Genomic DNA, 26,159 nt, shown 5'->3' with positions numbered 1-26,159 from the left:
TTCCCAGTACACCCAATCATTTCTGTGAAATCACAGCCACTGTAAATTAGTGCCTTGTAGCCAACTAAAAGCAAAATCAAAATTATTTTTAAAATATAGTTTCAGATATTATGGAATAAAAAGGCCATATGTAATGTGTTTTGAAGTTTGCTATGATGACGGCCAGGCTCCACAAAACAAAGGTAGCTAAGGGCCTGCAAGGTACTGACTTGGTACCTTAACTAGCTGGTGTCACAGTCCCTGCTGGGCATCCCTGGGCAGGTCACTTCACATCTTTGAGCTTCAGTTTTTCCCCTTCTGAAATATCCAAGGGGTCAGTAACCCTGCCTGCGAGAGCTTGTTGTGAGGATCCAAAGCCTCGACCCAGGCAGTAAAGAGGCATAAAAGCCAGACAGGGCCTCACTCGCCTGGGACCCAAAATTTAAGAGGGCGCCCAAAATCTCAATAACCAAGATAAAGAATACTTTAATGTAATATATTTTTAATCAAAGTAAATATATTTCTAAATTTAAATAAATAAATGAAGGGTTTTTAAAAACACATACACACACAAGACGACAAAAATGTCAAATATTTAAACATCTGTCTGGGACTCTGAGGCCACCCTGCCCAGCAGCATCCCTTCTAGCTCTGTGATCTGGGACTCCTTCTGCGCCTCGCTTCACAGATCTGTACAGTGGGGTGATCTGTACAATGGGATCTGCACAATTGGGTGGTTTATACAATGGGGTGATCTGTACAATGGGGTGATGTGTACAATGGGGTGATGTGTACAATGGGGCGATCTGTGCAATGGGACGAGCTGTACAATGAGGTGATCTGTACAAAGGGGTTATCTGTACAATGAGGTGATGTGTTCAATGGGGTGATCTGTGCAATGGAGTGATGTGTACAATGGGACAATCTGTGCAATGGGACGATCGGTACAATGAGGTGATCTGTACAATGGGGTGATCTGTGCAATGAGGTGATCTGTACAACGAGGTGATCTGTACAATGGGGTGGTCTGTACAATGGCTGATGTGTACAATGAAGTGACGTGTACAATGTGGTGAGCTGGACAGTGGGGTGAGCTATACAATGGGTTGATCTGTAGAATGGAGTGAGCTGGACAATGGGGCTACTCACCCCACCCACCTTGCAAAGTGATGCAGGACAGGAAATGGGTTAATAGAAGCTCGGATTTAGAAGAGTGCCTGGCACGCCTAAGGGTGAGGTGCGAGGGGGGTGCTATATTGCCCTCAGCGGGCACATCGCGCGTATCGGAGAAAACCCAGGTCACACTGTCACCCACGAGGTTACGCTGGGGCCGGGGCTTGGCGCAGGCGCGTTGTGGTCGCCGTCGGCGTGGCCTGCGCTACCGCTCCCGCCCTCAGAGAGGCTCTTGGGGGCTCCGGAGGCAGCGAACCGGGCGCCGGGCGCTGGAGGCCAGGCTCTTCTGCCCGTGGGACCCCGCCGCGCGCCCGTCTCCGCCTTTGTCCCGCTCAGCGCCGCGGGCCGCACGCTCCTCCCAGCGCCGCCAGGCGGCCCGCGCCCTTTGTCTGCCCTGCGGCGTCTGGGGCGGCGCTGACACTTGATCCCGAGGCCCAGCGAGTCCCTCATTAGGCGCGGCCGCACTTCAAAGGGGGCGCGACCGTCCCTCTCAGACGGCGACCCGGGCGGGGCCGCGCCAGCCGAGCGGTTAACCCGCTCCTTTGGGGATGGGAGGCGCCTTCCCCAAAGGGGTCCAATAATGAAACTTTTTGTCCATTGCAGGCTCAAGCCGTCTGTGTAATTATCTTAAACTTTTTCATTTCGGAAATGAAACAGCTCCTCCCTTCACCGCCACCTTGGCTATTTCTGGGACCAAAGGAATCCTTGAAGCTGACCGGGCAGGAGAGTCCACGCTGGGAGTAAAATCACTACAAACGTTTGTAGGGGGGCCCTGGCTGAATTAGTTCAATTTCAGGGAGAAAACTGGTGTGTGTGTGTGTGTGTGTGTGTGTGTGTAAAATCACTGCAAATGTCTGTCGGGGCGTGGCTGGATTAGCTCAGTTTCCGGGAGAAAACTGGTGTGTGTGTGTGTGTGTGTGTGTGTTGTGTGTGTGTGTGTGTTGGGAGGAAGGGGGAGGAAGGAGGAGGGCATTCTCTGGTGGAGGAGAAACAGCCTGAGCTTCTCCCCTTCCCATGTCTTTCACAGCAGCTCATACACTGTTTTCTCGCCTTGCAATGCCCAACTTTCTACCTAATGACCTACCCTCCCCTAAGGCCCTGCTCAACTCACCTTCACTGAGAAATCTTCTCTGGCCTTCAGCCCTTTTCTTAAAGCCCAAGGTCTCTGAAGCTGCACTTGATTGGTTGGATACTGTATTAGACCATTCCCACGCTGCTAATAAAAACATACCTGAGACTGGGTAATTTATAAAGGAAAGAGGTTTAATTGACTCACAGTTTAGCATGGCCGGGGAGGCCTCAGGAAACTTACAATCATGGCGGAAGGGAAAGCAAACGCGTTCTTCTTTACATGGGGGCAGGAAGGAGGAGTGCTGAGCAGAGAGGGGAAAAGCCCCTTATAAAACTGTCAAATGAGAACTCATTCACTATCACAAGAACAGCATGAGGGTAACAGCCCCCATGACTAAATTACCTCTCACTGGGTCCCTCCCACGACACTGGGGATTATGGGAACTACAATTCAGGATGAGATTTGGGTGGGGACACAGCCAAACTATATCAGATACTTAGCTGGCTGGATTCCCGGCTGGAGCACACACCTGCCCTGTGAGCTACACATTAGCAGGGCCAGGTATTGCGAACGCAGTGTCTGGACCAGGTTTCCCACATGCTAACCCGTGGAGAATGACTGGGCAAAGTATTTATGAAGGAAGTGCTCTCACAAGAAAGCAAGAGGGGAGTGGAGGAAGCAGGAGAGGAAAGGAGAAGAGGCCACACAAGGACATCACATCAGAAGTCCCAGTCCCAGCCTGATCCCGAGCTCCCCAGAGTAGGTTACATCTGCTTGGAGGCAAGGAACACGGGCTGTCCTACCCTCCTGCCTGTCTGTTTTTGAAATGCTGACGCTCACTGCCATTGCAGAAGTGGCTGCAGTAGCCCAGGTTAGTCCCTCCAAGAAGGCTGCAGGGTGAGTCTTAAGAGTGGAGCTCACAGAAGCATGGAGGATGGGCATGCAGAGCCAGAAAAGGGCATGCAGGATATCTGAGGGCCCTGGGCAGACCCAACGGTGTCTGCTGCAGCAGCTCACAGTGAGTGTGCCACATCATGGCCTGGAAAACACTCTAGTGCTCTTTTTATATACAGTTGGTGTCTGTCTCTCCCAGTAAACAACCAGCTCCTTGAGGACAGAGACAGCGAGAACAGTCTTTAGCAGGGAATGAGTACTGTGTTCCATGCTCTTGCCACCAGTCTTAGAAATTCCAATAAGCATTCATTCACCATCTTCCATGTGTCAGACTCTAAGCCAGCAATATGGATTAGGATGGCTTGGTTACCTAATGAAACTCCCCACTAGACTGCAAGCTCTTTGAGGGAAAGTGCTGCATCTTGTTCTCCATTTTCATCCTTAGTACTTAGCACAGAGCCTTTTACAATGGTAGGAGCTCAATAAATATTTGACGAATGAATGAACAACTTGTCTCAGGGAGTTGGAGTTCACAGCCTAGTATAAGAGGTGCACAATATATTAAATATCTTTTAAAAGCTAAATGTGAAAATTGTAGCAGAGGGAGAAAAATGATTAACTTGGGGTCAAATTTAGGGATCAAAGAAAGTTTCACAGAGTTAAAATATTTGGAATGGAGGGGTTTATCGCACATGGGAAAAGCATTCCAAGCAGAGAGACAGCCTGTGCAAAAGCAAACAGGCATGAAATAAGCTATCTGGTTCTGGTAAATGGGGGCCTTCCAGCTCCAACATCACATGGGAACTCGGGGAAAGTTAGTGATGATGTAATGATTTCAGGGAGTACTGCAGAAATGGATGATTTTCATTTCCTGCTCAGATTTCACTGTAGCCTTTGAAAATGGCAGAGCCACAAACTGTGAAAATTGATATACCCTTCCAAGGAGAGAGGGCCTAAGCTGCCACTGAACAGGTGTGATACATGTGCCTCCTTTCAGCTGGTCAGGTGGGACAGGTGGAGTAAGGAGAGCCTCTATCAAAGGGTGGCCTGGAGCAGAATATCAGGCTATGTGTATTAGTTCGTTTTCACACGCTATGAAGAACTACCTGAGACTGGGTAATTTATAAAGAAAAGAGGTTTAATTAACTCAGAGTTCCCATGACTGGGGAGGCCTCAGGAAACTTACAATCATGGTGGAAGGCATGATAGCAGGAGGGGTGGAAAGAGGGGAGTGTCACACTTTAAAACCATCAGATCTTGTGAGAACTCACTCACTATCATGAGAACAGCAAGGGAGAAATCCACCCCCATGATCCAATCATCTCCCACCAGGCCCCTCCTCCAACACATGGGGATTACAATTTGATATGAGATTTGGGTGATGACACAGAACCAAACCATATCACCATGGAACCTGAAGAAGGCATCCAAGGAGGAGGGCTGCCAGGCATGAGTGTTTGAGCTCTGGCTAAATGAAGAAAGCACCAAAAGGGGCAGCTCAGTGTAGGGTGTTAGATACAAGGAGAGAAAAGTGACCCCATAAAGATGTCAGAGGCCAGGCAGGATGAGCAGGGCATCCATGCATGGAGAAGGCCTAGCACCAGCTGTCAGGACCCCAGTGGACCAAGAATAACATCCTTCTAAGGGAGAGAATGGCAATGGAGATGGAGGATTATTTATACCCATGGGGACTCATCAGGTAGGCAAATATATTAAAAGCAAAGGAGAAAGATTTCTTGCTGTTGGAGCATCAAGTTACAAATATGGAAAGAGAGAATCTGGAAAGACCCTTGTAGAGGGGATTGCGATTGGAGGTATTGATAGGAACTCATAACATTCAATACCTAAATCGACATAGAAATATAGATGAAAGATGTGTGCATGTATGTATACTTGCAACTAGATGTGTATATAAACACATATATTCCTTAGTTTTGTCTATTGAGAGAACCTGAGGGCACTGACATTCCAAAAGCAGTGAGCCTACATTGTACCCAGGTTTTGGATTCCAAATTTCATCTCAACTAAAAGGAAGATGCACCCTAGAAGAAATGGTTGATTCTGGGACTGAGGCAGAAAGGAGCCTAGAACATCTTGTTACCCAGAAATTAAGCACCCAAACAATGATGGAAACATGCCAGAACACAGAAGCCACTGCTGGACATTTCTGGAGTAATCTAAATACAAATAAGTAATGAGAGTTAAGAATTATGGCCCACAGAATAAAACAGGAAAACAGGAGTCCACAGTGTTATTAATAACTGAATACATTGAAGGTTTCATGAGGAACAGGATATTTATATAAAAATAATTATCAACTGCAGAGGGAAGAACAGTAAAAATAGTAACTTCACAATGGAGAAGGTGGGCAGATGCCACTTTAACCAGGTGATGCAGGTGAACATCATCAGTCATGGGACAAATTGAGTTCTTGTGCATCTGATAGGATGCAACCTAGAGAACACATTGCCATTCATGTGATATTTCTGCCAAAGATGCATATCCTAATTCTAATCAGGGTGAAAGGTCAGACAAATGCAGATTGAAGGATATTCTATCAAATGATTGGCCAGTCATCTTCAAAAGAGTCAAGGTCACGAAAATCACAGAAAGACTGAGAAAACATTTCAGACTGAAGGAGACTAAAGGAGCTTGATATCTAAAGGCAATGTGTGATTCCACCCTGGCTCCTTTTGTTATAAAGAACATTATTGGGACAAAGGATGAAACCTGAATGTGGTCTGAGGTTCAAATGGTAAAAATGCATGTTGTGAACGTCGTGATTTTGATGGTCATTCTCTCTGTTTGTTGGAAATGCATAGTAAAGTGTCCAGGGGTGACAGGCATCATGCTGGCAGCTTACTTTCAGATGACTCAGGGACAAAAATTATTTGTCCCATACTTGTAACTTTTTTTGTAAATTTGAGATGGTGTTAAATATATAGGATGTATAAAGCTTAGATCATATTACTCCACTGCTCAGATTACGATTTGAGATGAGATTTGGGTGGGGACACAGAGCCAAATCATATCGCCATGGAACCTGAAGGTGTCCAAGGAGGGGGACGCCTAGAGGTTGGATACCTTTTCTGGTACGTTTTATATCTCATGTTCCTATAACCCACCCCCTACCCCATGAGAAAGTCACAATTCAACCAGCACTGACACGTTCCCTCCTTCTAGTAGAGTTAGGCAGGTGATTGAGACATGGATATGGTTACACTGTAACCTTAGTGCTTCCCTATCACCTTTGGGATGAATATAGAGTCCTGACCATGGTCCCTGAGCCCTAGATGGCCTGGCCCACCTCCTGTCTCAGCCCCTGTGCCTGGCTGTGTTTCAGCTACATTGGCCTGCTGGAGGTTTCTGGAACAGGTCCAGTGCTCTCCTGCCTCTGGGCCTTTGCACTTGCTCTTCTCTTTGCTTGGAGTGTGAACCCTCAAGATTTCTACATGGTGCTCCCTGTGCAAATGTCCCCCATCAGAGAGGTCTTGGAAAATAGCTCCTCCTCCTCCTGGTCACCTGCATCCCTCCACCTGTGTTAACTTTCTTCATCATGCTTTCACTGCTTGATATTTTAAGATGGTAATATGGTTTGGCTGTGTCCCCATCCAAATCTCATCTTGAATTCCTACATGTTGTGGGAGGGACACAGTAGGAGGTAATTGAATCATGGGGGCAGGTCTTTCCTGTGCTGGTCTTGCGATAGTGAATACGTCTCGTGAGATCTGATGGTTTTAAAAATGGGAGTTTCCCTGCACAAGCTCTCTCTTTGCCTGCTGCCATCCATGTAAGACGTGACTTGCTCCTCCTTGCCTTCCACCATGATTGTGAAGCCTCTCCAGCCATGTGAACCTGTAAGTCCATTAAACCTTTCTTCCTTTTGTAAACTGCCCAGTCTCAGGTATGTCTTTATCAGCAGCATGAAAACAGACAAATACAGATAGGTTTCCCTGTGTGTTGTTTGTTTCTTCACTAGAAAGTCCACTCTCTGTGGGCAGGAACTCTGTGTTGCTTCTCTCTACTCCCAATGCCTAGAAGAGTTCCAGCACTGTGGGGATGGGTCAGTGATTATTCCTGAGTAAGGAGTGACAGGCCCCTGGCGAGGGCCTTCCCTCATCACCTTGCAGCAAGGTGGGCCTACCTACGTTCTCATTTTGAAGATGAGGAAGTTGAGACTCAGAGAAGTGAAGTGATTCACCCAAGGACACACAGACAATACCCAGAGGAAATAGGATTTGAACTATCAATGAAAAAAAAAAAAAACACACACACACACACACACACACAGCGCAAAACACTTGTGAAAGGTGGCAAGACAGGTTTTATTCAGACTCCTGCTTTGGGGGAGATTCCAGGTCAGACAGAACTCAGCCCCAATTAAAGGGGACTGAGGCTTCTGAAGGGAGAACAGAGAGAGAACAAAAAGGGATGCTGGGGAAGTGAAGAAGGGGGAACAAAAAGGGCCTGGGGTTTATGTGGAAATGGAAATTACAGAAGGGGTCACTAGAGAATTCCTGAAAACAATTTGGTGCAAGCTGGGTTGGGACAATGCACATTTTGTGGTTTGGTAGCATTGCATTTTCTTGAGTAAAGACTTAGTGCAAGGCAGGGGTGGGGCCACCTTTAGAGACACAGCCTAGAGCAGGCGGAGCCAGCCTGAAATGTGGTCAAGTCTCAAGCATGGTGCCTAAGGGAGCGATCTGTGCCTCCTGAGAGCTCACTGTTCACAGGCCCAAGCCTTCAAACTCTAGAGCAAGGCACAGGGAGCGGGATTTTGCAAATTATTTTTCAAAGGAAGTCTCAGGGGCAAAGGAGAAGCCCATTGTCTTCTCCTTTGTATCATTTGTATCATTGTCTTCTCCATTGTATACATTTCTTTTGTGTCTTGTCCTCTCACAGTGTCCATCAGAAGGCCCCTGCTGAGTAGTTGGCAGGGTGGCTGCACATAATGGAAAGCACATAAGCTTGAAGCCAGACAGATGGGAGTTCTAACCCCAGCCCTGCCACTTATTCCCAGGTGACACTGAGTAAGTGACTTAACTTTCCTCAGCCTGAGTTTCCTAATCTCAATCACGTTACCCACCTGGCACCTTGTTGGAAGGTTTATATAAACCAAAATGTGTACATGCTAAGCACAGTATGTGGCCATAGGCAGTTCTCAGTAAGGGGGATGATAAATCTATCATGGGCTGGGTTTTGACACTGTTCACCCGCGCCTAGCAACTAGAGATTCCAAGAGATGAAAGATCAGGGAGGAAGGACCACACCTCTCTGCCAGAGGCCTGGAGGGGAAGCTCCTGGTGACAGAGGCTGGATTCCAAAGTGTCTCTTCTTTGACGTTGGTACCAGTCCCACTCGTGTTTTGCATGAGATTTGCCCCCAGACCCTGTGGACTGAGCTAAGCCCCGCAGGGGTGGCGCTTCTCCCTCCCTGCTCAGTGCCCAAACCTTCTGCTTCAAAGCCTCTATGGAGATAGCTTTCTCATTTGGCCCAGGCGGCCAATTCCAGTGGAGTATATGATATCGTCCACAGGCTGTTGGCTCAATGTGGAGAAACACAAAACCATCTTGAAATGCGACTTTACAGTTTTGATTTTGCTTGTTTATAAATGTATACTGTAAGCAAGCTGCCATCGCCTACAATCCGGTCTCTTCTCTGGCATCTAATTACCTTTAGAGCATGAATATCAACATCAAGAAGATGTTTTTTCCCCAGCCAAAGAGCAATTGGAAACATTTGATACCCTTTTCACCATTAAGGATGGATAGGAAGGGGAGGTTATAAAATATGGCCCTATTGGCCTGGCGCGGTGGCTCACACCGATAATCCCAGCACTTTGGGAGGCTGAGTGGGGTGGATCACCTGAGGTCGGGAGTTTGAGACCAGCCTGACCAACATGGAGAGACACTGTCTCTACTAAAAATACAAAATTAGATAGGTGTGGTGGTACATGCCTGTAATCCCAGCTACTCAGGAGGCTGGGGAAGGAGAATTGCTTGAACCCAGGAGGCAGAGGTTGCGGTGAGCTGAGATCACACCATTGCACTCCAGCCTGGGCAACAAGAGCAAAACTCCGTCTTAAAAAAAAAAAAAAGTACCTATTGCACTTTTCGATAGTCTTTATGCCTAGCTAGGAAATAAAGCTCCACCGTGTTATGTCCTGTCAAGTTACCATCCGTTCACTCAACAAATATTTATTGAGCGCCCTCTCTAGGGCAGGCAGCACTCTAGATACTTGGTCAGTGGACACAACAGGTGATGATCCTGTCATTGACACCTTGGTACAGGTGGTGCTTTCCGCCAGGTTCACCTTTCTCCTTGCTCTACCTGGTGAATTTCTATTGTCCTTCAAGACTCAGTTCAAACCCATCTCCCCTGGAAGGGTTTCCCTGTGTGCTTTCTCTGTGTTGTCATAACACTTTGTACATATCCCTTTTATTGCACTTTATTACCTTGTTCTCTACATTAATAGACTATTCTGGGGGGCAGTTGCAGGTTTACAGAAAAATTGAGTAGAAAGTATAGTTACCATATAACTTCCTCAACACCTCTTCTCGGACTTTCCCCTATATTAACATCTTGCATTAGTGTGGTACATTTGTTACAATTGATGACTAAATATGGATACATTATTATCAACCAAAATCTATAGATTACGTTAGGGTTCACTGTTTGTATTGTACATTCTATAGGTTTGATGAAGATATAATGACAGGTATCAACCATTACAGTATCATACAGAATAGTTTCATTGCCCTAAAAATATTGTGTTCGACCTATTTATCCCTCTCTCCCTCCCCTGAGCCCCTGGCAACCACTGATCTTTTTACTGTCTCCATAGTTGTGCCTTTTCCAGAATGTCCTATAGTTGAAATCTTGCAGTATGTAGCCTTTCCGATTGGCTTCTTTTACTAGCAATATGCATTTAAGGTTCCCCCACATCTTTTCTTTTTTTTTTTTTTTTTTTTTTTTTTTAAATTGGGATTTTCTTAGGAAAGTTTAATAAAGGGATTATTTGCAAAGATGTGGCAGGTTGTAGAGATGATGCTCTGCCCTGGAGCTAGTAATGGCAGGGCTGTTACCTGTCCTTAAGCCTGAAGGGAAGAGGGTAGGGAGTAGTTTTCCAGAACACAGAAGGAGAGTCTCCTAGAAAGCTTCTGGGGAGGAATAGTGACAGCCTAAGGCAATGCTGCAGGGCAAGCATTCAGAATAAATCCCCAGCCTCACTCTCAGCCCTCCCTCTCATCTTCTGTCTGGGCACCCTATTGGCTAAACCAAAAAAAAAAGCAAAGGACAAGGGAGCCTCTAGTGGTCCATGCAGGTCAGCCTCCTTGGGAGGGAGACCAAGGAGTAGCAGGTGGACAGTGGATCTGAAGGAAAAAATGACAATATCTAGTATAAATACATATCTCATTTAATTTGCACAAGAACACTCATTATTCACATTCTGCAGATGAGGAAATTGAGGTCTAGAGACTAAGTAACTAGTTCAAGGTCAGATAGTTAAGTTAAGGAGTCAAATTAGCATCTACCCCCACATCTTTTCTATAGCTCATTTGCTTTTAGTGCTGAATAATATTCCACTGCATGTATGTACCACAGTTTGTTTATCCATTCACCTATTGAAAGACATCCTGGTTGCTTTCATGTTTTGGCAGTTATGAACAAAGCTACTGGAAATGTCTGAGTGGAAGTTTTTGTGTGGATGTAAGTTTTCGGCTCCTTTGGATAAATACCAAGGAGCATGCTTGCTGGATCTTATGGTAAGAGTATACTTAGTTTTGCCAGAAACTTCCAAACTGTCTTCTGAAGTGGCTGTACCATTTTGCATTCCCACCAGCAACAAATAAGAGCTCCACTTACTACTTTTCATTTTATCTGTTAACTGCTCTGCTCCCACCACCATCTACCCTTCAGATTGTGAGCTACCTGAGCAGGATAGCCAGGTGTTATCATTGCATCTTCAGTGTTTGACACTGAAATGTTTATGGTATTAATAATTTGTCGAGTTTAAATTTTAAATTGCAGAATGATCTCTCAAGTAATAGCACATACCTCTGGATGCTACTTTGGTAGGGGGGAGGGCATTTAGAGGCATATGTTATGGCCAATGGAAGACCTAGCTTCTGTTCTGTGGATATGTTATTATCTACAGCATGTTAACATCGAGTTTAAATAATGTTCAGAACTAGAGTCCAACCATAGTCCTCGAATAACTTATCCTTTATATTTTCATTTTGTAACTTTTGTTATTTTGTTAATAAACTGTTAAAGAATTGACCATCATGACCATAACTACACTTATCAGCTGTCACCTAGATCTCATAAAAGACTTACACATCTCAGCCATAGCAATCTTTTTGCAATCCACTGGGGAAGACAGACAACGGAATAGGTAAGGGCAATGGAGAATCCAAAGCTGTAACAGAAGGATGCATTAAGGACCATGGGTGCCCAAAGAGGACTCCTAACCTAGTTTTGGCTTGAGAAGGTGCAATGGATTTGATTCCTGTTCAGCAAATACTTGCTTTCTCCTTCCCTCTCCTGGGAAGAATAATCTTCCTCGTCAGACCCAGCTGTGGGACTTGCTATGGCCAATGGAACATGAGTGGTCACGACGCAAACAGAAGCTTTCAATGTGCTCATGTGGTTTTGTCCTTTTTTGCTCTCCTAATCCACCATGAGGAGAGCATCCCCTAGGTACATGGTGTGCCCTAAGTTAGGGTTCTGGAATGAGAGACACAAAAGCAGACCTGAACCCACATCCTGGGCCAGAGTCCCCTCAGCTGACCTGCAGACCTGCGAGTAGGAAAAAATGTTCATTAATGTTTGGGGGTTATTTGTTACACAGCATAATCAGCAATAGCGACTAGTACAGAAATCCTCCTGGGGAAGGAGTAACAATAAGAAATGTTATCCAGATGGACAGGGAAAGGTTAAGAGAAAAGCTGGCTTAGTGCAGGGAGCTGTGAGTACAATGAATAATATTTATAACTGGCATGAGACCACTTGATAATTTGCTACAAATGAGAAGTAGATGGATGGAAGGCAGGCTAGAGCTGGTAACAATCACTGCGGTAATCACCGTTACGATCTAAACTGCTTACTCCTTCCTGGCAATGGCTCATTACTGGTGTGCCAATCATGATTATCCTGTTCCTAACTTTCCCAGCCTCTCTGCAGCTAGGGAGTAGCTAGTGACCCAGTTCTGGCCCTTGAGACCTAAACAAAAATTTTCTCATGGATTTCTGGGAAAGGCTTTTCTTTCCTGATGAAAGATGTCAGATGTGGTTAAGGCAGTCTTCCCCCTCTCTCCAGGCTTAAACAAGGATGCAATTGCCTGAGTTCTAACAGCCCTCTTGCATCTAGGAAGAAATGTCCAGAATTTCAGAGACATTGGCCCCATCATTTTTGAGCTCCTGAACTGAAACCTGCAACTACCTACTTCTAGACATCTTACTGTATGCGAAAAATAACTCCTTCTCTGTTTAAGCATAAGGAGGATTTTGTATTAGGTATCATGTTCTGCATTAGCTTGCTTTCCTAACTAAAATAATAGCTAACATTTACAAACACCACAAGCCTGGCACTGTGTTAAGCATGTTATAGCCATTATGCCATTTAACCTAAGTAATAATCCTATGGAAAAGTGGTATTATTGCCACATTAGAACTTTTCCCAGAGATCAGATCTGCTAAAGGCTCTGCTACTCCAATTCTACCTAACTCCTGGGGTGCAAACCCTAGTCCGGCTGTACCTACTCCAAAACAATAAGTAAAAGCTTTACTCCACCTGGATATAGGCTGAGCCAGAAATCACTTTGAGAAACAGAGATTTGAGCCAAGGTCCTCAATCCCTTCCAATGGCAAGGGAGAAAGTTGTGAGTTGGGGCTGAAGATCTTGAGCTTCTGGGGTCCCCACATTTCTGAGCTCCATGCTGTCAAGTGGGTTACTGGGATGAGCAGAAAGAATGTTGAGGATTCTCCAAATTATTATTATTATTATTATTATTATTATTTTTGTGAGACAGAGTCTCGCTCTGTCTCCCAGGCTGGAGTACAGTGGCACGATCTCGGCTCACTGCAAGCTTCGCCTCCGGGGTTCATGCCATTCTCCTGCCTCAGCCTCCCGAGTAGCTGGGACTACAGGCACCCACCACCACGCCCGGCTAATTTTTTGTATTTTTAGTACACCGTGTCAGCCAGGATGGTCTCAATCTCCTGACCTCATGATCCACCCGCCTCAACCTCCCAAAGTGTTGGGATTACAGGCGTGAGCCACCACGCCCGGCCCGAGGATTCTCCAAATATTTCTGGATCCCAGGGTTAGCCAGCCTCCCTCTCTAGAAGCTCTGATAGGGGAGAGGGTTGGGTGTGTATGGAAAGGCCTCTGTCAGAGTCAGCTTAATGATACTATTTAAACAAGCCTTGTCTCCACTTGCTTCTGCTATGACTGCTAGATTTCACCAATCAGTTTAAGAACCAAACACCTTGGGATAGTTAAGAAGAAGGTGAAGCAGTCATTAAAAAAAAAAGAAGAACAAAACCATGTCCTTTGTAACTACATGGATGGAGCTGGAGGTCATTATCCTAAACAAACTAACACAGAAACAGAAAACTGAATACCATATGTTCTCACTTGTAAGTGGGAGCTAAACAATGGGCACATAAAGATGGACATAAAGATGGAAACTATAGACAGTGGGGACTCCCAAAGGGGGGATCATTAGAGTGGGGGATAGAGTTGAAGAATACCTATTGGGTACAATGTTCACTATTTGGGTAATGGACACACTAGATGCCCAATCCCACCAGTACATAATTATACCTGTGTAGCAGATATGCACATGCACACCTTGAATCCAGAATAAAATACATTTTTTTTAAAAAAAGAAAAAAAAATTCAATCAGTATGTATGCATCATGAAATTTTTATTCCATTCTGATCAGTCACTAACAGAATGAACTTTTCTAAATGAGAAAGTTTGTCTTCTGAATTTTAAGCAGAGCACACTTGAATTTTGATGCTGATAATAAAATGTAGTATAGCAATATGCAATTCATCACTGTTTTGATTTTCTGACAGGTGGAAATTAGGCCAAAATAAATACTACTTTCTGCTTAAAAAAATGCAGGTGAGCACTATCAATAATTCACTCCTTAGTATGGATTCGTTTGCTTCTATTATCCCTGTAATGCTTGGGCAAAAAGTGCTCAAGAATGAAAGTTTTGTTAGGGAATGTTGAATAAATGTTGCAGAATAAATAAATGTGTGTATGAATGAGCTGTATTCATGGAAGATTGTTCAGAAACCTATAGGTGGCCTCCTCAGAGCTGTACCCAGGGGTGTGCGTACGAATACACGCACACACACACACACACACATTTTAAGAGGAGATGTGGAGCTTTCTAGGTCTTCTTGGTTAACAGGAGCAAGACTCAAAATGTTTGAGAAGTTAAAACAAGGGGACTAGTGTAACAAGATTACGTTTAACAAGGGCAGGTGTTGTACTCTGAACATTTGTTGAAAACTGCCGCACACATGGAGGCGATGAGGGAGGTGAGGCTTAACAGACTCACGTGTGAAAAAGACAGGGGTCCCCTAAGTGGACAGGCAGCTCCTGCACTGTCAGGGGTAGGACCTGGCTGCCAAGAACATTAATGAGCTCCCAAGCTGCTTTAATACAAGCACGGTTTTCAGAGGGAGAGACCCGATAGGACGTGAGTCAGACCACACCTGAAGTCTGGGACTCACTTCTGGAGAGAAACACCAGCAAAGTGGTGACCAAGCCAAAAGCCACTTGACAGAAGAAGGGACAAGGTGGAAAAGCAGGGCAGAAGAGGTGGCCGCAAAGGAGCGAGAATGCTGCGAACAGCTGGAGGGCAGGGTTTGTATCTGATTGGTCTCTGTATTCCCAGCGTCTGGGATGTCTTTGAAGCTTTGTAAAGAGTTGGAGAATGAGGCCAGGTGCGTTGGTGGCTCACGGCTGAAATCCCAGTGTTTTGGGAGGCAGAGGTGGGAGGATGGCTTGAAGCCAGGAATTTGAGACAAACTTGGTCAACATAGCAAGACGCCACCTCTGCAAAAAATTTTTAAAAATTAAAAAACTAGCTGGGAGTGGCGGCACACGCCTGTAGCCCTTAGCTCCTGGGAGGCCGAGGCAGGAGGATCACTTGAGCCCAGGAGTTCGAGGTTACAGTGAGCTATGATCACGCTACTGCATTCCAGTCTGGGTGACAGAGTGAGACCTTGTCTCTAAAAAAGTTGAAAAGAAAATGTGCTGAATGAACAAACTGGGGTGTCCCAAATATAAAGAGCTTTCCCATAAAGGAGACAGTTCCCAATCTGTGGGGGTATTTAAGTACACAACAGACAGATGTTTGCTGGGTTGCTCTAGGAGAGAGTCAGGTGTCCAGCAAAGATAGGGAGGGGAATAGATGTTAGAGACATCTAATGTTAGAGACAGGGGGCAGCCAAGTGTCCCAGGTGAAACCCCACCTCCAAGGCTAAAACAGCCTGAAGGCTGAGAAACTGGATTGCTGGTCCCTGATGAAGCCTGCCCTTTCCCAAACGATTTTCTCTAAATGAGGCCCACCTTCTTACTGGGGGAAAGGGGTAGAGCCAGGGGAAGTTCACGAAGTTTGCAGGGGAGAGGAACCTGGCCTCTGTGGTAACCTAGGATTCAATTTGTGAGGAGAGAGGTTGTTGGCAAGACCCCCTATCACTTCGCTGAGAGTTTTTCTTTCTTTTTCCTTTTCGCCCAATAAATTCTGTTTTCCTCACCCTTCTATGTGTCCGGGAGCCTAATCTTCCCTGGTCGTGTGACAAGAGCCTGGTTTTAGCTGAACTCAGGAGAAAGCTCTGCAACACTAAGTTCTATTGGGTCCCAAGGATTTTGTTCCGTAAGGCTAGATATTAAAGCCCTCCCCATGTCTACGTCTCTGACATCTGTTTCTCTTTTATTAGTGATGTCCAAAGAGAAGGGAGGAGGAAGGATGAAAGGAAAGACAGAGGAGGAAGGAAGAGAAGAAAGAAGAGTGGCCGGCACAAGGGCTTGGAGATCCCTGAAGCTGTTTTCCTTTCTCCTCACCCCCACAGGGAGGGATCCACATCGTTGTGGGGTTTTTGTTGTTGTTGTTTTTGTTTTTGTTTTTTTGCCTCCCTTCATCAAAGCATTCATTGTAGTGTATGGTAATTGTCTCTGAATGTAACAGCCTCTCTTCCCTGAGGCCTGGGTCTGCTTGTTTCATACCATCTTCTCCTTAACACACAGTGCTTGGTAAACAATACCTATTAATAAACATTTGTTGAATGAATGAATGAGTGAATGAACGAATACTGCACTCTTTCGACTTGGTTAGAGACATGTCTTGTAGGCTGGCATGTACTTCACACAGCACTCTTAGGTAGAGTTTGTATATGTTATTCCATTGAAGGGAAAAGGAAGCCAGACTGTGGGGAGAAAAAAAAAAAAAAAAGACATTCTGAAGAAGTAAAAACTACCCTTGTGGGTTTCAAAAATGTCTGGGCTATTATGCCTGAAGCTGAAACATCAGGTCATATTTACTTTTTCTTTTCTACAGACAGCTCATAGGTTTTCTAAAAAACAAAAAACAGACATCAAAACCTCTTGTTACTTTCTGCGTGCCTCCTTTCCATGTTAGTTTCTTTTTATAATGAAATCATATGAGCATCTGTCCCTGAAATTCTGGCTCTTGATAATCTTTTATTTGCTTTGCTCTTCAAAGTTTATACAGATTGTACATTGATCTTGTACCTCGTGTAGGGTTTTAACTAGCAAAAGTACTGGAAAAAAATTTTAAAGTACTTGAAAAAATTTCAATGAGGACAGGGCTATCGTAGTTTCTATTACAGTTCCTGCAGGTAGGGCGATGCCTGACACACAGCAGGTGCTCGATACTTAGACAATGAATAAAATATGTGCTGTCTACCTCGATGAGAGATATTATATCATAAGCACATTACTAACATTACTAGTTAATCCACCAACACCCTTGTGGTTGTGATTCCATTCTTAAGATAAACAAGAAATAAGATAAAGGAATTAGTCGATGGTGGTAACAAAATGAGTCAGAATTCAAACCCAGTGCTGCCTGACTCCAAAGCCAGGCTCTCTCTGTATCACAAGCTACTAAGGGGACAGTGGCATGTGGCTTCAGTGAAGCTCATCCTGGGCATCTCCGGTAACCTGCCCAACCCCTTCCCTTCCCAGCTGCTCTTGGGTCCAGATCTCTGGCAACTTGCTTCGAATGACTTTGAGAACAAAAAAGTATGTGTTAAGTGGATGGCTGGATAAAGGGTTAGGTAAATGATAAAGACATGACAGTAAAATCAATGGATGGATACTTAGTTACATACAAACACACGCTCCTTCCCCTGCCTGTATTCCTGGTGTTTTGGGAGGCAGAGGTAAGGGGATCACTTGAGCCCAGGAGTTCAAGGTTACAGTGAGCTATGATCATACCACTGCACTCCAGCCTGGGTGACAGAGTGTGAGACCCTGTCTCTAAAAAAATTTCTTTAAAAAGATTTGCTGAATGAACAAACTGGGGTGTCCCCAAATATAAAGCACTTCCCCTCTTTACAGAGAAAAAGCTGTACCTACAGTACCAGCCTGTCCATTTCAGTCCGGCAACACATCCTTAAAAAGACAGATTGGCCTCTAACTCTTCCCTGCCAATTCCACCCCTGCTGCCTGCCCCACCCAGGATGATAAAGGCCCTGAAGTCTTGAAAGCAAAGCATACTTTTGTGCTACAGTTTTTGCCCAGACCTCGTTAATTCAGGAAGATGATATACTTCAGCCAGTGGAAAGATATCGAATGCGTGCAAAGCCTCTTTAATTGTGGGTTTCCTTTTGTTGTCTGCTTCCTTAATAAATTTGGAAACTATTTTATGTAAATTATATTCTCTAAATGAGGCTGTTGCATTTTCCTGCTCTAGGAGCTGGAGCAGAGATGGGGCAGAGCAGGATGGAGGGAAAAAACCGCCTTGTGAAAAATGCTCCTTCCCTAGGAGGCGGCATCGTCCCTGCTTTTCTAGTCTCGGCCAAATTCCTCCTAGGGATGCTGCATGTCCTGCCATCCTTGAGGATGGGCAGGCAGGAGAAGAATGGTGAGGCGGAGATCCTGGCACCAGGAGTAACTTTGAGGGCAGGAAGTACAAACTAAGCCTGGAGATGCCTGGGGTGGGATCGGGTGGCTTTAATAAGTAAGATGTGTGGGCAAGAGGGAATGAAACTGAAATGGAGAAAAGATGTTGATTCAGCCAGCAAGGCAGAGCTGCAGGAGCAGCCCAGTGGGGCCAGGAGCCCAAAGGGTGAGACGGCTCCCTAAGCTCCTTCTCCAGGTCACACTTGGCCTCAAAGCCAGAGTCCCTGCCCCTGCCGCTCTACTTTTCCACCTGACTGGTCCACACACACTTGTGGCCTGATGACTTCCTGAGACTTTGGGGATGAGTTGCCTGGGTTCCATTCTTTGTTGTTGTTGTTGTTGTTGTTTTGTTTTGAGACAGTCTTGCTCTGCCACCCAGGCTGGAGTGCAATGGCGCGATCTCGGCTCACTGCAACCTCCATCTCCCGGGTTCAAGTAATTCTCCTGCCTCAACCTCCCAAGTAGCTGAGATTACAGGTGCCTGCCACCATGCCCAGCTAATTTTTGTATTATTAGTAGAGATGGGGTTTCACCATGTTGGTCAGGCTGGTCTTGAACTCCTGCCCTAAAGCAATCCACCCGCCTCAGCCTCCCAAAGTGCTGAGATTACAGGTGTGAGCCACCATGCCCAGCATTTTGGGTTCCATTTTTTTTCTTTTTTGAGACAAAGTCTTGCTCTGATGCCTAAGCTGGACTGCAGTGGCGCGATCTCGGCTCACTGCAATGTCCGCCTCCCAGGTTCAAGTGATTCTCCTGCCTCAGGCTCCTGAGTATCTGGGACTACAGGCGTGTGCCACCATGCCCGGCTAATTTTACTTTTTGTGTTTTTAGTAGAGACGGGGTTTCACTATGTTGGCCAGGCTGGTCTCGAACTCCTGACCTTGTGCTCCACGAGCCTCAGCCTCCCAAAGTGCTGGGATTACAGGCATGAGCCACCGCGCCCGGCCTTGGGTTCCATTCTTGCTCTGCAACTTACTAGCTGTATGACCTCAGGTATGTGTCTTAATCATTCTGTGCCTTGATTTTTTTTTTATATCAACAAAATGCATATGACAAGAATACGAGCCACATAGGATTGTATGATTTATTCTCCCTCAAGCACTTAATAGTGCTTGGTACTTAATGAGTGCTACATAGGATTGGCTATCATTATCATCACCTTCATCGTTATCTAGCTCTATCAATGACAGCCTGTCACCCAAGCCAGAAATTTCAGAATATTTTCCTGTGGGGAATGGATTTTCCACTATATTCCCATCCTCAATTTCCTGGAACCTTCACTCCTCAAGGCTAGGACAAATAAAAGACAAACTAAAGAGGAAGGAGGCAGACGTAACATAGAGAAAGAGCTTGCAAAGCTTAGACTTGAAGCACACCAATGAAAGGTCTGACTCTTTGACCCAGAGTCCACTCTGACAACAGTACCTAGGGGGACGCAGCAAATTTCCTGTAGCCCTGGCATGAGCAACAGAAGCAAAGACAATGACAACTCAAAGAGGACAGGACCCAGGGGATCTCCAGGGACTTCAGTGGACCAAGAAATGGAGGAAGGAAGAAGGGAGGAAGAGAAAGAAGCTCTTCAGGGAGGAGATTTCGGTGCTGACTAGAAGAGCGGCCACGGCCATGTGTAAGGAAAAGAGGGCTAAGATTTCACACTGGCTATGGGACTGGGACGATGGCTGCTTCTAGGGCAGCTGCCTCTGCCTCTCCTCCCTCTGTTGACCCTGTGTGGGTAGAAACTTGAAGTAAAAGGACTGCTTGCATATTTTTCTGGACTCTGTGGGGGATTTACTGGAAAAGAGCTATTCTGTTGGTTTATAGATACCATCACCCAGTCCCTCTACAGGAGGGGATCAAGGGCCATGCACGGCTGATTTGGAATCACCAATAGAGGCCTGTGGGTCCAACAGGAGGCAGCCAATATGTGAAAGTCCCTGGGCTACAATCAAGGGCTTTATCAATGAAATTATAATAAACGAGACATTTTGGACAAAACAATTTGGGGTGTATAGGGGCATATTTAATATGTGCCAATATACAGCCTCTTTGTTGAAGTCCCTTACAAGGGCTAGTTATTCAACTCTAAATCTATTTAAAAATAAAAACTTAACCCACCATGGGCTACTTTTGGGGTGAGGGGAACCCAAAACTATTTGCTGTGATGCTCACAGTGAGACCTTTGTGTCCTTTGAACTTACAGCTGCTGCGATTTGCCTGCCTTTTTGATGTACAATAATGAAAACTAGTGGTTGGCTTAAAACCTTCTGAAATTAACAGCTAAAGACTTAGCTTCCATGGGAGGGAAGGGGAGAACCCCCACAGTGTGGTCAATGCCCGGTTATTGATAGCTTATGCCTACAAAGCAAAGGAAGGTGCAGACAAGTAATAATGGAGACCTAAAAATATATCAACAAAAATAAATGCATTGTGAGGAAATTCCAAGCTCTATTAAATGCACTTTTGGTGAAAGAAGCCCTGCAGAGAATTTCTTAATACATTTCAAAGAGGGGAGGTGTTTGGTCGCTGGAGTAGCCTACATAAGCAATCATGGTATTTGTGGAATGTCAAACTGCAGATTGCCAGAGATAGTCATCCAGCTCCTACCACAACCATTTCTTATGCTAGATCAAGGTTTTGGACAGTGGTTTGGGGTTGACTGAGACTCATATCCTCACGTTAGAAGATCCCGTTAATGTCACAGACTCTCCCACTTGGAAAGAGCGTGTGAGTGTAGACATTCCTGCATGGAGCCAATGCTTCCACACTTCAAGATCTGCAGCCAGAGAGACACTGTCCTTATTGTAGACACCTTGGTAACTCATTCCAAAGTCCAACAACACCCACATCCAGGAAATTCTTCTTCATGTTTAGCCTAAATCCCTCATGCTTCAATGTAAGCTCGTTTCCTCTCATTCAGTCCAAAACAGAAATAGGGAACAGCTGCTCTCCACCACTGGTTCATGTGCTTGAGGACTTTCATTTCATCCAACCCCTAAATCTTCTCTTCTCCAGAATAAATATTCCAAATCCTAGAAACATTCTCTGAGATTTACCCAAACCATGTGGCCAATTACTTTCTAAGTGCTTCCTTTAATTCCAAACACTTGTCCAAGGTACCGTCTCAGTCTTCGCTCTTGAACAACACACATTCGTTGGGTGATATAGAGGACTGAAAGGAACCAAGCTTCCTTCCAAAATCTAAAGAAGACTTCTCACCACCTCCAGCTACCTTGGCATTGCCAGTCTGAAGTTTCTTCTGTCTGGTTTCATCCTCAACATCCCCATTGCCATGATGGCTGGGTTTTTTTATGACTAACTACACCAGATGCTGTGCTACACACTTTATATGGATCATCTCATTTAACACATTGACATGGTTTGGCTGTGTCCCCACCCAAATCTCATCTTGAATTGCAGCTCCCATAATTCCCACGAGTTGTGGGAGGGACTGGTGGGAGATAGTTGAATCATGGGGGCGGTTTCCCCCATACTGTTCTCATGGTAGTGAATTAGTCTCATGAGATCTGATGGTTTTATAAGTGGAAACCCCTTTCGCTTAGCTCTCATTCTCTCCTTGTCTGTCACCATGTAAGATGTGCCTTTCACCTCCTGCCATGATTGTGAGGCCTTCCCAGCCACGTGGAACTGTGAGTCCATTAAAGCTCTTTTTTTTTCCTTTATACATTACACAGCCTTGGGTATATCTTTATCAGCAGCATGAGAACAGACTAATATACATGTACAACAACCTGATGGATGCGTTTTTATCTTTTATTCATAGATGAGGAAATAACCTTGAAAGAACTCATTATTAATAAGTGACTGGGATTTGAACCCAAGCTTGTCTGACAGAGAACTGAGGCTCTTGCCACAATGCCAGGCTAAGAGGTGGTTCCTGCTCCATAGAGTCCCATCAAGACAGAGATAATGAAATGGCCAGAAATGGACCATAAGGAAAGCATCTCTCCAACTCTATTTCTGGAGTGCTGATCATTTCCTGTCCCTGCAGAGTAGCTTTTTAATTTCATGGTTTGAAGCTGCCATGAAAAAACAACAAACTCCATTATCACATTTATGTTTAATTATAATTATGTCTGTACACACTTGTCTGTCCATTACTCCTTGACTTGCTCCAAGGCGGGGACTTCAGCTTTGTTTTTATATTTTCAGCACCTAGCACGTGCCACCTACTGAGTAGACACTGGGAATATGTTTAGAATATGACTCACTGACTGGCTAGCTTAATGGATGAATGAATGAATGAAATACACACAAATCCACACATATCAGTTACTCCAATTCTCATATTCAGAACTGCTTACAGATACATAGGGATCTCCTTGAATAAATGCTACTCTCCTTACTCCTACTCTCATCACAAAACTGTTTGGGGGACATTAAACAGTTGGAAGATAAAGATTCTAATCTCATTTTCCCCTGCAACTCAACATGTGAACTTGGACAAGTCATTTGTTTTCTCATCTGAAAAATGAGGAAGTTTGGCCTGGATGATATTTAAGGCCCTTTCCAGTCCTAAATTTCCATAATTCGATAGCTGCCTATCTACCATAATCACACTTATCTAAATAATCACAAAAAACACTACTTCATGCTGGAGAAACACAGTCATAATAAACTAAGCAAAACCAAATGCCCTTCAATATCCTGTTGTGAACTATAAAATGCCCCTTAAAATCACATTTTCCCCTTGAAACAGGATGTAGGAAAAATATTTTCCTATTAAATCCTTTTAAAGTGCAAGGGAAAGCATTTATTCTGTGATTTGCTGTCCAACTCAATAAAAAGTGGAGGATTCGGCCATCTTAATCATGGAAGATACTGTCAAAAAAGCAAAGGCGGTGGAAATTCAAGTTAGAAACCAAGATGCCATGCCAACAAAACAATGCACATGTTCTCTGGAAGGGATTTCCAAGTGTGTATCAAGTAGTTTATTTCTGCCATTATGTTGGGGAAACCAGTAAATGGGTTTTTATGAGGTGCTCTATGAAACTCCTGGGGTGGACGAAGTCAGCCCTGGGAAGAAGTTGCACCAAACTTCTCAACCTGGAGGCCAGGAGAAGGAGGGGAGAGAGAGGACTTGAACTTTGGTGACTGTTGATCACATTGTTGTGAGTTGACGCCTCTAAAATGGGGTGAGCAGAGTGGGATAAGTACCTTAAAAGAGGTAGAAAGGACTAGAAGATTTCAGAAGAACATTGCTTTGTGTTTGGATATTGGTGTGTCTCCTACTAGGTTAAATCCTCAAAGGGAAAAGGTTCTGTTTTCTTAATTTCTGTAGACCCCTGGAGTATTACCAGAGCAGGCCTACAAACATTGTTTGAGAAATGGAAAAGAGTAGGTGGATCTCTCTGTCTTCCAGGAAGACACAAAAGGGGTGTCTGCCCAGCTCATAATCACCCCATCTTTTTACTGGAGCTACCTCATTGTGGTAGACTGAATAACAGCCCCCCAAAAATGTCCAAGTCCTAATTGCTGAATGTGTGAATATGTATGTCACTTGGCAAGGGGCACTGAGGTTGCAGATGGAATTTGTGATGTTGATCAGCTAGCCTTCAGATAGGGGGCTTATCTTGGACTATCTGGGTGGGCCCAATGTCATGACAGGGGTCCTTAAATGTGGAAGAGGGAGGCAGGACAGTCAGTGTCAGAGTGATGCGATGTGAGAAGATCTCCACCCATCATACCTGGCTTCAGAGAAAGAGGGTGGGGCCGTGAACCAAAGAACGTGGGCAGCATCTAGGAGCTGGGGAAGGCAAATAAATGGATTCTCCCCCAGAGTCTCCAGAATGGAACACAGCCGTGCCAGCTCCTTGATTTTAGCCCAGTGAAACCCACATTAGACTGTTGACCTCTATAACTGTAGGATAACAAATTCAAATTGGTTAAGCCAAAATGTGATCATTTGTTATAGCAGCAATAGAATATTAACATATCCCCTCCCCACAAATCCCCAGCCAGAGAGTGTATGTATCCTGACAGTCACGTTGGTCCCATATGACTCAGATGCTAAAGCCTAGCTGACTGGACCAGGGGAAGGTCTGTCTGAAACTGGGCCAGCTTGGGACTTGGGACTGATACATCAAGTTAGACCCTTTCTGTGACTGGGGGTGTATTAGTGCATTTTCATGCTGCTGATAAAGAAATACCCGAGACTAGGAAGAGAAAGAGGTTTAATTGGACTTACAGTTCCACATGGTTGGGGAGGCCTCAGAATCATGGCGGGAGGCAAAAGGCACTTCTTACATGGTGGCAGCAAGAGAAAATGAGGAAGAAGCAAAAGTGGAAACCCCTGATAAACCCATCAGATCTCGTGAGACTTATTCACTATCATGAGAATAGCATGGGAAAGACCGGCTCCATGATTCAATCACGTCCTCTTAGGTCCCTCACACAACACGTGGGAATTTTGGGAGATACAAGTTGAGATTTGAATGGGGACATAGCCAAACCACATCATTCTGTCCCTGGCCCCTCCAAATCTCATGTTCTCACATTTCAAAACCAATCATGCCTTCCCAACAGTTCCTCAAAGCCTTAACTCATTTCAGCATTAACACAAAAGTCCACAGTCCAAAGTCTCATCTAAGACAAGGCAAGTCCCTTCCACCTATGAGCCTGTAAAATCAAAAACAAGCTAGTTACTTCCTGAATACAATGGGGATACAAGTATTTGGTAAATACAGCCATTCCAAATGGGAGAAATTGGCCAAAACAAAGGGGTTACAGGGCCCATACAAATCGGAAATCCAGCGGACAGTCAAATTTTAAAGCTCTAAAATGATGTCCTTTGACTCCAGGTCTCACATCCAGGTCACACCAATGCAAGAGGTGGGTTCCCACAGTCTTAGGCAGCTCTGCCCCTGTGGCTTTGCAGCTGCTTTCTCTTCGCTGGCATTGAGTGTCTGTGGCTTTTCCAGGTGCCTGGTGCAAGCTGTTGGTGGATCAATCATTCTGGGAGCTGGAGAACAGTGGCCCTATTCTCACAGCTCCACTAGGCAGTGCCCCAATAGGGACTCTGTGTGGGGACGCCAACTCCACATTTCCCTTCTGCACTGCCATAGCAGAGGTTCTCCATGAGGGCTGCCATCCTGCAGAAAACTTTTGCCTGGGCATTCAGAAATTTCCATACATCTTCTGAAATCTAGGTGGAGGTTCCCAAACCTCAGTTCTTGACTTCTGTGCACCCGCAGGCTCAACACCACGTGGAAGCTGCCAAGGCTTGGGGCTTTGACCCTCTGAAGCCACAGCCTGAGCTATATGTTGGTCCCTTTCAGCCATGGCTGGAGAGGCTGGGGTGCAGGCTACCAAGCCCTTAAGCTGCACAAAGCATGGGGATCCTGGGTCCAGCCCACAAAACCACTTTTTCCTCTTGGGCCTCTAGGCCTGTGATGGGAGGGGCTGCCATGAAGGTCTCTGACATGGCCTGGAGACATTTTCCCCATGGTCTTGGGGATTAACATTAGGCTTCTCACTACTTATGCAAATTTCTGCAGCCAGCTTGAATTTCTCCCCAGAAAATGGGTTTTCTTTTCTATTGCATAGTCAGGCTGCAAATTTTCTAAAGTTTTATGCTCTGCTTCCCTTATAAAACTGAATGCCTTTAACAGCACCCAAGTCACATCTTGAATGCTTTGCTGCTTAGAAATTTCTTCCACCAGATACCTAAATCATCTCTCTCAAGTCCAAAGTTCCACAAATCTTCAGGGCAGTGACAAAATACCACCAGTCTCTTTGCTAAGACATAGCAAGAATCAACTTTGCTTAAATTCCCAATGAGTTTCTCATCTCCATCTGAGGCCACCTCAGCCTGGATTTTATTGTCCATATCACTATCAGCATTTTGGG

General features: G+C 45.1%; 1 protein-coding gene and 2 long non-coding RNA genes across 11 annotated transcripts in view, besides 1 other annotated feature; 1 reads left to right on the top strand and 2 right to left on the bottom strand.

Annotated features, from left to right (window-relative positions):
* LOC124900165 (uncharacterized) overlaps positions 1 to 26,159 on the bottom strand; it is a 230,445-nt gene that overhangs the window by 195,609 nt on the left and 8,677 nt on the right. The gene's annotated exons all lie outside the window — the stretch shown is intronic.
* Positions 1 to 26,159, bottom strand: part of STX18-AS1 (STX18 antisense RNA 1 (head to head)) — a 168,808-nt gene that overhangs the window by 133,972 nt on the left and 8,677 nt on the right. The gene's annotated exons all lie outside the window — the stretch shown is intronic.
* LINC03091 (long intergenic non-protein coding RNA 3091) lies at positions 1,076 to 16,437 on the top strand. Of its 2 annotated transcripts, NR_199719.1 has the most exons (5): positions 1,076 to 1,211; positions 1,756 to 1,909; positions 8,021 to 8,148; positions 14,207 to 14,255; positions 16,088 to 16,437. It is a non-coding gene; the product is annotated as a long intergenic non-protein coding RNA 3091 (long non-coding RNA). The 2 variants fall into 2 exon arrangements; NR_199718.1 differs by lacking the exon at positions 14,207 to 14,255.
* Positions 1,283 to 1,642: a silencer, noted in NCBI's record as "silent region_15215". NCBI's record gives its function as "represses an Ori minimal core promoter by ATAC-STARR-seq in GM12878 lymphoblastoid cells {active_cell/tissue: GM12878}" and the evidence as "EXISTENCE:reporter gene assay evidence [ECO:0000049][PMID:35858748]".

Source organism: Homo sapiens, chromosome 4, assembly GCF_000001405.40.
Source record: "Homo sapiens chromosome 4, GRCh38.p14 Primary Assembly".
Taxonomy (NCBI): domain Eukaryota; kingdom Metazoa; phylum Chordata; class Mammalia; order Primates; family Hominidae; genus Homo; species Homo sapiens.
This window is presented reverse-complemented; position numbering and strand designations above follow the sequence as displayed.